Source organism: Homo sapiens, chromosome 3, assembly GCF_000001405.40.
Source record: "Homo sapiens chromosome 3, GRCh38.p14 Primary Assembly".
Lineage (NCBI taxonomy): Eukaryota > Metazoa > Chordata > Mammalia > Primates > Hominidae > Homo > Homo sapiens.
In genome coordinates, this window is record NC_000003.12 from 27,520,308 (window position 1) to 27,535,266 (window position 14,959).

The 14,959-nt window shown below is 42.3% G+C and overlaps 4 annotated features.

Moving 5' to 3' along the window:
- Positions 4,973–5,609: an enhancer, noted in NCBI's record as "OCT4-NANOG-H3K4me1 hESC enhancer chr3:27566771-27567407 (GRCh37/hg19 assembly coordinates)". NCBI's record gives its function as "activates a minimal SCP1, AML or CMV promoter by ChIP-STARR-seq in naive and primed H9 embryonic stem cells {active_cell/tissue: H9 hESC(naive and primed)}" and the evidence as "EXISTENCE:reporter gene assay evidence [ECO:0000049][PMID:30033119]".
- Positions 12,297–13,239: an enhancer, noted in NCBI's record as "NANOG-H3K27ac hESC enhancer chr3:27574095-27575037 (GRCh37/hg19 assembly coordinates)". NCBI's record gives its function as "activates a minimal SCP1, AML or CMV promoter by ChIP-STARR-seq in primed H9 embryonic stem cells {active_cell/tissue: H9 hESC(primed)}" and the evidence as "EXISTENCE:reporter gene assay evidence [ECO:0000049][PMID:30033119]".
- Positions 13,240–14,183: an enhancer, noted in NCBI's record as "OCT4-NANOG-H3K27ac-H3K4me1 hESC enhancer chr3:27575038-27575981 (GRCh37/hg19 assembly coordinates)". NCBI's record gives its function as "activates a minimal SCP1, AML or CMV promoter by ChIP-STARR-seq in naive H9 embryonic stem cells {active_cell/tissue: H9 hESC(naive)}" and the evidence as "EXISTENCE:reporter gene assay evidence [ECO:0000049][PMID:30033119]".
- Positions 13,551–13,845: a silencer, noted in NCBI's record as "tiled region #8300; HepG2 Repressive non-DNase unmatched - State 5:Enh, and K562 Repressive non-DNase unmatched - State 24:Quies". NCBI's record gives its function as "represses a minimal TATA promoter and a strong SV40 promoter by Sharpr-MPRA in HepG2 and K562 cells {active_cell/tissue: HepG2 | K562}" and the evidence as "EXISTENCE:reporter gene assay evidence [ECO:0000049][PMID:27701403]".

Here is a 14,959-nt window from a genome sequence, read left to right on the forward strand (position 1 = left end):
AAGTTTTGTGTCTCAATCTTTTCATTATTTATTATCACAAGAAATTACGTGTCTTCTAGGCCAGGCGTGGTGGCTCATACCTGTAATTCCAGCACTTTGGGATACCAAGGTGGGTGGATCACTTGAGGTCAGGGGTTTGAGACCAGCCTGACCAACATGGTAAATCCCCATCTCTACTAAAAATACAAAAATTAGCTGAGTGTGGTGGTGGTTGCCTGTAATCCCAGCTACTTAGGAGGCTGAGGTGAGAGAATCGCTTGAACTCAGGAGGCAGAGGTTGCAGTAAGCCAAGATCGTTCCACTGTACTCCAGCCTGAGCAACAAAGTGAGACTCCAGCTCAAAAAAAAAAAAAAAAAAAAGGGAAAAGGGCCAGGCCCCATGGCTCACGCCTGTAATCCCAGCACTTTGGGAGGCCGAGGCGGGCGGATCACTGGAGTGCAGGAGTTCGAGACCAGCCTGACCAACATGGAGAAACCCTGTCTCTACCAAAAATACAAAAAAAAAAATTAGCCAGGCGTGGTGGTGCATTCCTGTAATCCCAGCTACTTGGGAGGCTGAGGCAGGAGAATCGCTTGAACCCGGGAGGTGGGCTTGCAGTGAGCCGAGATTGCGCCATTGCACTCTAGCCTGGGCAACAAGAGCGAAACTCCATCTCAAAAAAATAAGTGTCTTCTATATGCCAGGCAATTTTATAGGCACTGGGAAAATTACAGTGAATAAGACAGACTGGGTCCCTGTCCTCAAGAAGCTTGAGTTCCAGTGGGAGAGACAGTTAATAAATAAGTGAATAAGTATATTCTAAAATACACAGAAAGACAAAGGACAGAAAGAAAATGAGGCAAAGGACAGGTGTGGATCATCCTGGAAGGGCTATCTTAGATTGGAGGGTTAAAAGTAGTAGTTTCTGAAGAAGTGACATTTGAGCAGACACCTAAATGAAGAGAGGGTTCAAGTCTTAAAGATTTACTGGAATAGAGTGTTTGAAGCAGAGAAAATAGTAAGTGCAAAGACAGACATGTGCTTGGCCTATTTCCAGAACAGCAAGGATTCCCATGGGACTGGGTAGGAATAAGCAGAGGGACTGCAAGTGAGGTAGCCAGTGATCACATATATATGATTTTATAGGCCTTTTAGATTTTAAGCCATTAGAAGGTTGTGAGCAAGGGAACGGCATTGTTACGTTTTACACTTTAAAAACATCACTCTGGGTTTTGTATAGAAGATAAACAGTAGGAGAGCATGCGTGGAAGTTGGGAGACCGATTTGGTTGACACAGCCTTAGTTGACCTCCAATGAGTCATGCCTTGTGTAATATTCTCCCTTAAGTGCTGACAGAACCTGTGACTTGCTTCCAATGAACAGAATATGGCAAAGATGATGGATGTCATTCTCATGAATATGTTACATTACATAAGACTTCATCTTAGCCGACCAGAGTGTGAGTGATTCTGCTGAAGAAGCAAACCACCATGGTGTGAACTGCTGTGGAGAGGGCCACTTGCAGGGAACTATGAGACACTTCTAGGACCTACAGATAGCTCCCAGCCAAGAGCCAGTGAGAAGCTGGGTCTCCAGTTACACAACCACAAAGAGTTGACTTTACCAACAATTTGAATGAGCTTGGAGTTAAATTCTTCCCTAGTCAATCCCTCAGATGAGAATATAGCAAGCCTACATCTTGATTACAGATTGTGGAGGCTGTAAGCTGAGTATCTGGTTAAGCCATTTTCAGACTCCTGACCCACGGGAACAGTGAGATAATAAATGTGTGTGGTTTTAAGCTATTAAGTGTGTGGCAATTTGTTACACAGCAACGGAGAACCAACACAACCAATTAGGATGTTTCTGTAGTAGTCAGGTGAGAATTGATGGTGACTTGAACCAGGCTAGTAGCCATGAAGATGGGGAGAAATGGTTGGATTTGGGATATGTTTTGAACACAGAGTTGATAGATTTGCCAAAAGCTTGGGTATGTTATATGTGAGAGAGAGAGGAGTCTGACTCCAAGATTGGCTCAATAAATACAAATACTCAGCTCATAAAATTCAATTAATTTATATTTTGCTCACCTTAGAAATCAGATCTGGGCCAGGCGCAGTGGCTCATGCCTATAACCCCGGCACTTTGGGAAGCTGAGGCGGGCGGATCACCTGAGGTCGAGAGTTCGAGACCAGCTTGACCAACATGGAGAAATCCCACGTCTACTGAAAATACAAAAATAGCCTGGTGTGGTGGTGCATGTCTGTAATCCCAGCTACTCGGGAGGCTGAAGCAGGAGAATCACTTGAACCCGGGAGGCAGAGGTTGCAGTGAGCCGAGATCGTGCCATTGCACTCCAGCCTGGGCAACAAGAGCAAAACTCCGTCTCAAAAGAAAAAAAAAAAGGAAATCAGATCTGGTTGAATCCTACTGATGTGCTATAGCACCTCTTCCAGGAATGCACTTGACCGCTTTCTAAACCAGGCTTGTTCTACTAACACTTCAAGTTTCAAATGAAATGATTTCCTTCTCTGAAAACTTTCCCATGCACGTTAGCTAGCTTAACTCTTTACTCCCTTTGCTCAAAAATTTCTTATAGCATTTGTCTCATTAATCATAATTTATATGCACTGTCTCCTATAGCTTTTTTTTTTTTTTTTTTTTGAATGGAGTCTCTTTCTGTCACCCGGGCTGGAGTGCAGTGGCGGAATCTTGGCTCACTGCAACCTCTGTCTCCCGGGTTCAAGCAATTCTCCTGCCTCAGCCTCCCAAGTAGCTGGGATTACAGGTGCCCACCACCACCCCCAGCTAATTTTTGCATTTTTAGTAGAGACACGGTTTCACCATGATGGCCAGGTCGAACTCTTGACCTCAGGTGATCTACTCACCTCCCAAAGTGCTGGGATTACAGGTATGAGCCACTGTGCCCAGCTGGGACATAGCTTTAAAAAAACAAAACAAAAAAAAAACTTTATATTCCCAGATCCTAGAACAGAGTCTGGGACATCTAGGAAATATCCAAATGTTTAATGACTGAATAATTGTAGTCATTCTGAAAACATTTGAAATCATCAGATTAACTGTATTTTACCTAATTCTGTCTTCTCATAGCAACATAGTTCATCTCACTATATGATTAACTAAAGCAGACAAGATATGTATGTATGCATATATTACCTGCATCATAAGTATAATGCAATATGCCCATTTGACAATGTTAACTCCATAAATAATAACACTCATAATTGACCCACTGTGCATATGTGTCTGTTTGTGTATGTGAGAGAAAGAGAATTCTATAAGCTACAAAAGTTTTTTATCCAGTTTGAGTTGCAGATCCAAGATTTATCCTCTTGATTTATTGCTTTCTAGCCTTGCAAAAGGACAAAAGTAAAGTTTTTGAAAAGACTTTGTGACAAATCTACTTCAACTACTCCAGAATGTGAAAAACGGATAAGATAGATGCTGGGTCACTTTAAAAAGGCAAAGGAATGTTCCAATATAAAAAATATGGTACTCGTGGGCTAGTTTGTTCAAACACACCGGAGTGACTTTCTAGGCTTCGATCCAATTGTATGATGCATTCAGAAACCCTGTGCCTACTCATAAAAATATCTCAGATGAAAGATTTTGAAATTTGTTTATGAGTTTAACTGAACTGAAAACTGCAATGTTGGCCATTTCTTTTTGTGACCAGAGGGAGGAACTTCTATTCAGTATTGAACCTAATACACCAATGGCTATATTTTCCCTAATTCCAGAAGACAGCACACACACACACACACACACACACACACACACACACACACTTCCTATAAGGACAAGTAACCTCAAAAGATTGGAGCAGTCTCTCTGAATCAGTTCAGGATTTGCCTTAAAGTGTTCATTTTCCTACTCATATCACTCTGGGACACCCAAACTTGCCAATAAATCTCAAATACGTAACTGCTGTCACTTGGGGAAACTTTTTGGCAACAAGACTTATGATCTGAAGCATGATGGAATTTCCGTCTCTCCAGTTAAAAATGATGCTCAAAGCAGCCCATTAATTTGGTTAGTTATTCACAGATTAGAAGCAAATCTGAAATGCCAAGCCCAGAAGAAAGCCAGGCCTAAAAACAACTGAAATGATTTTCCATGGACAAAATAAAAAAGCAGAACAAATCTAGGTTTTTCAAAAGGTTACTTAATCCAAACTTAGTTCTCAAACAAAGATGGAATAACAACTGATAATGACTGATATGCCTTTACCAGTATGAGTTCAAGCAATCCAAGGAACACTACCAGATGGCAAGTCTCAAAATTTGACCTGGTACCTTGTAAACATTCAAGGGATTCTCATTGCTGAAAATGGATAGCAATTAGCATCTACATTTTTATTTTTTTTTTTAAGAGACAGTTTAGCTCTGTCACCCAGGCTGGAGTACAGTGGTGGGATCATGGCTCACTCTAGCCTCCAACTCCTGGCCTCAAGTAATCCTCCTGTGTTGGCCTTCAAAAGTGCTGGGATTACAGCCATGAGCCACCATGCCCAGCCACAATCTACACGTTTATTACACTATATTCACTATATACTATATTCATTAAGCCCCTCATAACTCTATCAGTGACTCTGTTAATGGAGTCAACAGAATGATCAAAAATGCCATTTAGGTGGACACCCTGGTCGATGCCTCCAAGCTTGTCCCAGGCCCTTGTCCTGGCCCCGTGGCCTACAGGGTTTGCCCTGCTATGCATCCTCCAATGCTGGGCTTCGGATTGGCCACAGCTTGCGGATCCTGCCGTGCCAGCTTGTACCTCCACTCTCTCAATCAGATTCTGAAAGTTAAAAAGCACAGTGTCTATTTGACAAATTTGAGGAAATCGGGAACTTTGGGTGACCTAGGCTCTCTAAATGAGATGACCTATCAAATACCAGCAGAGGAAATGCTGGACTCCTAAGCAGAATTTTTTTGGAAGACCTTGCAGATGAGGCTTACCAATTTGAGCACTATGATGTCTCCTTTGGGAATGGTGTCTTAACAATTAAACTGAGTGAAGATCTAGGAACCTATATGACAAACAGCAGACCCCAAATAAGCAAATCTGGTTATCTTCCCCATATAGCATCTGAATAAGTTGCACTTTGTCTTCAAATCAAGTTAAAGTTTGACCTCTAGTTTGTTTTGAGCATCTCAGCTAACGAAGAACACATGATTGTGTCGGAGGCACAATGCAGCCTGTGCAGCATGAAAACCTGAGGCCATGCAAGGAAAGATGTCCCTCATTCCTCATCTGTCTGGCTGCCAATGAAGTAGTTGTAAGAAAGTAAAAGTGAACTGCCCACAGAAAGCTCTCAGACCTACCTCCCTGGGTTATTCATTTGCACTTCCAAAGAGAACATCATGTTGACTGTGAACTGGGGAAGGCCCATATACAGCCAGGCTGAATTCTTTGAAAACCTGGCTGGGCGCAATGGCTCACGCCTGTAATCCCAGCACTTTGGGAGGCCGAGGTGGGAGGATCATCTGAAGTCAGGAGTTTGAGACCAGCCTGGTCAACATGGTGAGACCCTGTTATCTACTATAAATACAAAAATTAGCCGGGTGTGGTGGTGGGTGCCTGTAATCCCAGCTACTCAGAAGGCTGAGGCAGGAGAATTGCTTGAACCCGGGAGATGAAGGTTGCAGTAAGCAGAGATTGCACCACTGCACTCCAGCCTGGGCGACAGAGCAAGACCTTGTCTCAAAAAAAAAAAAAAAAAAAAGAAAGAAAGAAAGAAAAAGAAAACCTAACGGTATTTGCATTTAAAAACAATTATAACCCTACTCCACTTCCAACATTGACATAATTTCATCATTTTAAGGCAGTTAATATTGTACCATTTATCATGCTGTGGTTTGTATTTCTTTGTTCAGAATGAAGTGCATGCCTCCTTCAAAACTGTAAAATAAAATATACATGCTAGTGAAATTAAACAAAATTAGCAGGTAAAGAAATATTTGCTCTATGGTTACAAAAGTCATATTTCAGAGCCAGAAAATACACATATTTTCTTTTAGAGAAAATCAGGTAATTTGCAAATCCAAATAAATAAATAAATAATAAAACCGGGCCGGGCATGATGGCTCACTCCTGTAATCCCAGGCACTTTGGGAGGCTGAGGCGGGCAGATCACTTGAGCTTGAGTTTGAGACCAGCCTGGCCAACATGGTGAAACCCCATCTCTACTAAAAATACAAAAATTAGCCGGGCATGGTGGCGGGCACCTGTAATTCCAGCTACTCAGAAGGCTGAGACAGGATAATCACTTGAACCTGGGAGGCAGAGGTTGCAGTGAGCTGAGATCCTGCCACTGCACTCCAGCCTGGGTGACAGAGCGAAACCCCATCTCAAAAAGAAAAATAAATAAATAAATAAACCAAACATTAGTAATGTAAATTAGTAACCCCACAGGTTTAAGCAAGAGAGCTATGCTAAATTTTACACAGCTGTTTCTATAAAGATACTCACGCACAGAAAAGAAACATTTTGAAAAATATTTTCATGTTGGTTTTCTAGACAGGAAACCAGACTCATATTGCCCTAACACTTGGTTTGCATTTCATACCAGTTAAATTAAAAATTATTGTTACTTAATTTCTCAGCAAACCAATTTTCTAATTTAGCCTTGTTCCAGATTTAATAATTTTTAAACATAAAATGTGGAGTTTTTCTGTCCTTTAATGTTTATGAGATGGTTTATTGTAGCCTTGTGGGAGCTAGCTTAAATAGATATATGTTTCTGGGATTGAAATGACTAACTTTTATAATTCTGGGGTTAAAGGACACAACGTTTTGATGAGTTTGGTACTATATTCTTTTAGGAGGTTAGCCTAGATTCTAATTTATTCAGGGGAATTCTTTACAGATACATAGTTCTCAGTTTTCGTAGTAAGACGTAGTAAGATGAAACTTTTACTTCTTTCATTACTTTCTTAATTCTTCTTTTTTTTTTTGTAACTCATCTCACCACCACAGGCCTTCTTTCGTTCTAATGCAACTGAATTATCATTACCAACTCTTAATTTATTTTTTCAAATTTTAAGTCCAGCCAGGTGCGGTGGTTCAAGCCTGTAATCCCAGCACTTTGGGAGGCTGAGACGGGTGGATCACCTGAGGTCAGGAGTTTGAGACCAGCCTGACCAACGTGGGGAAGCCCCGTCTCTGTGATCTCAGTTCACTGCAACCTCTGCCTCCCAGATTCTCTCGCCTCTGTCTCCTGAGTAGCTGGGATTGCAGGTGCGTGCCACCAAACCTGGCTAATTTTTGTATTTTTAATAGAGATGGGGTTTCGCCTGGTCCTGCTGGTCTCGAACTCCTGGCCTCAAGCGATCTGCACACCCTTGGCCTCCCAAGGTGTTGGGCTTACAGGCATGAGCAATTGCACCCAGTCATGACCTCTAATCCAGAGCCCAGGCAGGTCACTCCACACATTCAGAGCTTCCAACCACTTTTACGGTCTACCATTTTTAACCATAATGGAAAAATCAATGGCTACCAAATCTAAGGAAAATCTCTAATGTAAAAAATTAAACAACAAAACATGGGAGGGGTAAAAAGACACTTGGAGGAAACAGCTATGCAGGAAGGAGAAAATTTCAAATTAGTATTAATATTTTTAGAGAAATAAGAAAATATGTCATAGCCACAAAACAGGAATAGGATACTACTTAGGAGATAAAACAAACAGAATGAAAAGAGCTTTTCAGCAGAAATGAAAAACCCAATAGAATAATTAAAAGATAACATTTTTTAGAAACTCCCAGAAAGTGGAACTAAAATACAAACAAGTGGAAAATAGAAAATAAAATGTAATAAGAAGAGAGGACCAGTCATGAACATCCAACAACTATTTAATAGGAGTTCCAGAAAGAGAGAACATGAAAAACAGAGAGGAGGAAATTATCAAAGAAATAATATAAGAATATTTTCAGGCCAGGTGTGGTGGCTGAAGCCTGTAATCCCAGCACTTTGGGAGACTGAGGCAGGCAGACTACCTGAGGTCAGGAGTTCAAGACTAGCTTGGCCAACATGGTGAAACCCCATCTCTACTAAAAATACAATAATTAGCCAGGCATGGTGGCATACACCTGTAATCCCAGCTACTTGGGAGGCTGAGACAGAAGAATCACTTGAACCCAGGAGGCAGAGGCTGCAGTGAGCTGAGATCGTGCTACTGCACTGCAGCCTGGGTGACAGAGCAAGGCTCCAACTCAAAAAAGAGTATTTCCATAAGTAGGGGATGCTAGTTTCTGTAATGAGAGATTCCACCAAGAGCTGGGACAATAAATGAAAATTAACTATGCAAAGGCATATTATCATGAAAATTTATAATAGTGAGATAAAAGAGAATATCTTAAAATCTTTTTGAATGTAAAAATAAGTAACATACAAATGGTTGGTTATCATAATGGCAGTGGGTTGCTGAACAAACCCCTAGAATCCAGAGGATAATGAATGGATCAATGTCTTCAAAATTCTGAAAGCAAATGAGTCCCAATCCAGCATTCCCAACCAAACTGTTTACCAACTATAGAGCTAAAATAATGATATGCTTCAATAAACAAAGCCTCAAATGATTTTCCTCTCATACAACCTGGAGAATATGGTTAGTGGAACATATCCTCCAGTAGCCCAGGAAACTCATGTAGCTACTGGAGGATATGTTCCACTAAAATGAGGAAGTAAGCTAAGAAAGAGGAAAGCAGAGATCCAACTTGAGAGAGAGGTCTAGGTTTTTCCTGAGATGATGGTGTAGGGAGATCCTAGGACATCAGCTTTCTCAAGTTTAGAGCACAACCAGTCCAGATTGGAGCATACATAAAGAAAGCACCAGTAGCAATCATTCTTTTTAAAAAACAAAATTTGATAGAGTATCTGATGCATGCAAACATATTCACAGGAGTTGTATTCTTCTGGAAGAGTGTTTGAAGATAACTTAATATAAGCTACATAGAAAATTGAGCAAATTAAAAATGAAGGCCAGGTGCAGTGGCTCATGCCTGTAATCCCAGCAGTTTGGGAGGCCAAGGTGGGCGAACTGCTTGAGCTCAGGAGTTTGAGACCAGCCTTGGCAACACGGCGAAACCCTGTCTCTACGAAAAATACAAAAACTAGCAGGGTGCGGTGGCAAGTGGCTTTAGTCCCAGCTACTTGGGAGGCTGAGGTGGAAGGATCACCTGAACCCAGGAGGTCGAGGCTGCAGTGAACCGTGATCACACCACTGCACTCTAGCCTGGGTGATAGATCGAGACCCTGTCTCAAAAACAAAAGAAACAAAAAACTGGCCGGGCATGGTGGCTCATGCCTCTAATCCCAGCATTTTGGGAGGCCAAGGAGGGAGGAACACCTGAGGTCAGGACTTCGAAACCAGCCTGGGCAACATGGTGAAACCCCCCTCTCTACTAAAATACAAAAAAAAAAAAAAAAGTAGCTGAGTGTGATGGCAGGCACCTGTAATTCCAGCTACTTGAGAGGCTGAGGCAGGAGAATCACTTGAACCTTGGAGAGGGAGGTTGCAGTGAGCTCAGATAGCACCATTATACTACAGCCTGGGTGACAAAAGTGAGACTCTGTATCAAAAAAAAACAAAACAAAATAACAAAGAACTACATGGCCCAGCTTTGAATAATATTACATAATTAACTGAATACTGATCTAACCAAAATCTATGCCTTAATTAGGATATCAGAGAGTATGTATTTGTCTATGTTGTAGAGGTGGAGTAAGAGAGTTAACTCTATCTTTCACATTAGGAAGCCACAGATTGTCTCTGAAAGTAAGAAATCAAGAAATAGCAGGGTAAACCTATTAACTAAACATAGAGTGGAAAATGTTAAAAGAACAGCTGAAAGGACAAATGTGGGTACCTCTGGGAAGTAGAAATTAAGGGAAAAAAAGGTAAAAGCGGAGGAGTGCTAATTTCCACAGTAACATTACTGAACTTTAAAAACGATGTACATATAAAACTTTGATAAAATTAAAACTTGTAAAAAAGATTAAATGACACACTGTGTCTCAGAATAACCTATCAGATTACCTAGTTGTAGTAAATAGCTAATATATGATTTTTTCCGTTGTTTTTAACAGAAGAGTAGGAAAATTAGGTGTTTGCTATAGGTTTTTTTTTGCACAAGACGAAGTCAATGACCCAGAAGGTGGAACTTAAGAGCATATTGTCCAAGATAGCATGATGCTGTTACATCACTTGAAATTATGCAGGCCAGACACGATGGCTCCTGCCTGTAATCCCAGCACTTTTGGGAGGCTGATGTGGGATCTCTTGAGGACTTGTGAGCTCAAGGTTGGGGCAAAGGAGGCCAGGAGTTCAAGATCAGTCTGGCCATCAAGCCAGACCCTGTCTATCCAAAAAATAAAATAATTAGCCGGGCATGGTGGCAAGCAACTGTAATCTTAGCTAATCAAGAGGCTGAGGCAGGAGGATTGCTTGAGCCCATTAACTGGAGATTGCAGTGAGCCATGGTCACACGATTGGACTCCAATCTTGGCAACAGAGTGAGGCACTGTCTCAAAAAAGAAAGAAGAAAAGAAAAGAAAAAAGATGAGGTTCTTCCTCTCAGAGGCCATCTGGAGTGGTTCTCAAATCTGACTATTTGTAAGCTTCATACGGAAAGATTTAAAAAAATCCTGATGCTCAGGATGCATCCTAGACAATTAAATCAGAATCTATCTTTCAACCTACCTCAAATGATTCCAATGTGTAGCCAAGGGAAAGAACCACAGCCCTAAGTGTGAGTTTATGAGACTGGGCTATCTGCCATTTCCAAATCTCATCAGAGCCCAAGGAGGGGTAGAGAGAAGTACATGTTATGGGGAGAGAAGTTGGGTATCCCTCCCTCTGCCAGGCCAACCTGCACTTTTAACTCGACCCCACTGTCACTTGGTAGTTAAATGAATGCATACTCTGGGTGATGTTTGTAGGGAAAAGAAAGAGAGATCAGACTGTTACTGTGTCTATGTAGAAAGGGAAGACATAAGAAATTCCATTTTGACCTGTACCCTGAACAATTGCTGTGTCCTGAGATGCTGTTAATCTGTAACTTTGCCGCAACCTCTTTGCCCTAACCTCTTTGCCCCAACCTTGAGCTCACAAAAACATGTGTTGTATGGAATCAAGGTTTAAGGGATCTAGGCCTGTGCAGGATATGCCTTGTTAACAAAATGTTTACAAGCACTATGCTTGGTAAAAGTCATCGCCATTCTCTAGTCTCGATAAACCAGAGGCACAATGCACTGCGGAAAGCCGCAGGGAACTCTGCCCTGGAAAGCCGGGTATTGTCCAAGGTTTCTCCCCATGTGATAGTCTGAAATATGGCCTCATGGGATGAGAAAGACCTGACCGTCCCCCAGCCTGACACCTGTGAAGGGTCTGTGCTGAGGTGGATTAGTAAAAGAGGAAAGCCTCTTGCAGTTGAGATAGAGGAAGGCCACTGTCTCCTGCCTGCACCGGGAACTGAATGTCTCGGTATAAAACCCGATTGTACATTTGTTCAATTCCGAGATAGGAGAAAAACCGCCCTATGGCAGAAGGCGAGACATGTTGGCAGCAATGCTGCTTTGTTATTCTTTACTCCACTGAAATGTTTGGGCGGATAGAAACATAACTCTGGCCTACGTGCACATCTAGGCATAGTACCTCTCCTTAAACTTAATTGTGACACAGATTCCTTGGCTCACATATTTTCTTGCTGATCCTCTCCTTATTATCACTCTGCTCTCCTACCACATTCCTCTTGCTGAGATAGTGAAAATAGTAATCAATAAAAACTGAGGGAACTCAGAGACCAGTGCCTGTGTAGGTCCTTGGTATGCTGAGTGCCGGTCTCCTGGGCCCACTGTTGTTTCTCTATACTTTGTCTCTGTGTCTTATTTCTTTACTCAGTCTCTCTTCCCACCTGACGAGATATACCCACAGGTGTGGAGGGGCAGGCCACCGCTTCAATGTTTGGGCTTTCTCAATAGGGTCTCATCCTCCATTCTTACCGACCAGAAGAAAAGTTGTGGTTGGTCAAAATCTGAGACATTAATGGGGCCACATTTTGGGGGTGTACCTCAAAAGCAGAGACCAAGCTTCATTCTTTCTCCTGTATTTCTAGCACTTGGGTGAACTGGACCATTTTTCTCTGGCCAGGCCACTTGCCTTAAAGTGGTGGGCTCAGGAACGTTGGCCCCCTGTGTCTCAGTATCTCTGCACCCGGAACAGGGTCTCTGAGAATCTCCGGATTGGAAAGTAGAGAACTTTAGCCCCAGGCCTGGGCCTTGCCTCCAGCACAGACTCCCAGAGGTTATTAGGCCTTCAGCTGGTGCTTCCTAAGTAGAAGGGTATTGTTTCCTATCCAGTCACCGATCCTTTTGTGTGCCCTCCCTTGGTTCAGAATCCCAAAGAGAATGAATGGGAGAACTCGAGTTCTAAATTCTGTCTTAGAAGCACTCAAATACAGTTTGTAGGGAGACTCCAAACTGGTCTCTCACTACCCTGACAGCCTAAAAACGCAGCTGGAATTTTGCATTCTCTTCCCCTAACCAATTAGTATATGCATTTCAAATACTATGCATAATATGCATATTAGTATATACAAGATAGGCTAAACACTGTGTGAAACTAAGAAGGTAAACCCTCTCCTAGCTTACAAACAATTGGTACAATTAAAAATATTTGACAATGGTGAAGGCATGGGCAATGGCTATTTACAAATCAAAATATAAATATTTTAATATTTTAGTAATAGGCGTGGTGGTACCAGTGTGTCTCAGTTAAATAGTAGTCTTGCCCCAAAGCGCTTTTGAATGCTTTGCCACCTATGCATCAGTGGATTCAGGAATGTAATGAGAGTTCTCAAAAGTAATGGAAGCAAAGCCAAGCAAGTCTCCCACTCCACACATCTTGCTTTTCCCTTTCTGTGTTGAGCTTTGGATCTTCCACAAAGGGGACTGGGTGCCCCTGCGGAAGTCCAGCCAGGGAGTAGTCAGACCTGGGGGGAGAGGATGGATTACAAGCCTGAATTTGCCTTCCCTACCAGACAAGCTCTGGCTTGAGGAATAGAGAAGTGAAAGAAAAAAGAGGTGCTTCGACTCAGTTGGAGACAGGGAGGGTTATGAGTGGAGTGAAGACAAGGCTCTTAATTCAAGCTGCCTCAAATTACATTTGTCCACACACGCAGCAAAATGCTGCTTAAAAAATAAATGAGGTTAATTTCTCTTTACGGGTTCCCTTTCATCTCAGGGTTTCAAAGCACTTTGCCACAAAAGATCCTTTATCTTCACAATTCTTTTTTTATCTAAATATAAACAGAGGGCCCTAAGTTTATATTTAAAGTTCAGTAAAGCCCTAAACTTTGGAAAGAAAAGGTACTTTAAAAATTCTTTTATCATTATAAGATCCAAGTAGCCAATCAAGGACCACACAGACAGAAAATCCACATTCAGATGAAAGGCCACACCTCTGCTCAGATGACCTGCGTGCTAATTAAAATCACAATTAAAACAAGCAGAGGGGATGGAGAGTGGTGACTTAACTTGCCCTTATCCCAGCAGATACACTCACAACTGACTCACACAGGATACATCGGATTTTCTCCAGCAGGCATTTGGAAAAAAGCAAAGAAGAAATTCTAGTTTTAGCTGCCCTCCATCTACTAACCCAGTAAACTCCATCCCTGGGTCGGTGACACATCCCTGACTCGCAGCCACCTCAGCAGAGCCCCATTCCGTGCAGGAAGAGCCAGCTTGGCCTCCTGGTGATGGGAATGTTGTTTGCATATGCATTTTTTCAGCAAAAGAAAGTCTCAAAATCTCCCTGGTTCCAGGGTGTGAGTCATTAGTGGGTGTTTGTTTTTTGGGTTCTGAGTGTGAGTCACCACCTTTCCTGCTGTTGGTCTTCTCAATCCTAGGGTAACAACTAAAAAGCGATGACTAGAGATGCCTGTGATGCTTAAAAGCGGACACCTGGACATTATTCATTTGGCAATTGTATCAACAATTAATTTTAAAGTTTGTTCTTTTCTCTGTAAACAAGTGTATAACGTTTATAAATAACAGTGGGAAAGAGGAAGGTGGGGGAAGGGAGAGAAACAAATCTAAAAAGGATATGACTGAGGTAAACGGAAGTAGAGTCTAGTCAAAGCCAAAATAGACAACTGCCTGTTTGTCAGCTAGAGGAGGGCCGGGGCTGGTGATGTTGACCAAACTCTATACATGAACAAGCATCTGATGCTGCTCTCTAGGACTTTTCCTCATTAGCCTGGGAGTGTGCGTCGGGAGGGCAGTCAGGAGGGACTGCCAGTGTTAACCATCAACTCTAGAATCTGAAAGAACAACATGGCTTTGAAATGACATCTTCCGGCCGGGTGCGGTGGCTCACGCCTGTAATCCCGGCACTTTGGGAGGCCAAGGCAGGCAGATCACAAGTTCAGGAGTTCGAGACCAGCCTGACCAACATGGTGAAACCCCGTCTCTACTAAAAATACAAAAATTAGCCAGGTGTAGTGGCATACGCCTGTAATCCCAGCTACTCAGGAGGCTGAGGCAGGAAAATCACTTGAACCTGGGAGGTGGAGGTTGCGGTGAGCCGAGATAGCACCATTGCACTCCAGCCTGGGAGACAGAGTGAGACTCTGTCTCAGAAAAAAAAAAAAGAAAAAAAAAAAGGACATCTTCCTGATGTTCCTCCCATTGGTGCTATGCCTGGTACCGTTTAGTACTGGGAAAGGACCTCAAGACCACCCAGAATTCTACAATGGAGAATGTTCTATAAAGTCACGGTGTCATGCCAGGACCAGGAACCAAAAAACAGCAGCTTGAAAACCAGTGATTTGACAATTTGGGCTACCCTAACGGCTAGTTTTTATTTCAGTGACATTGGGCAATAAATCAAGCCATTTAAGATGGTTGAAAGAAATCAAGATGACCACACACACACACACACACACACACACACAC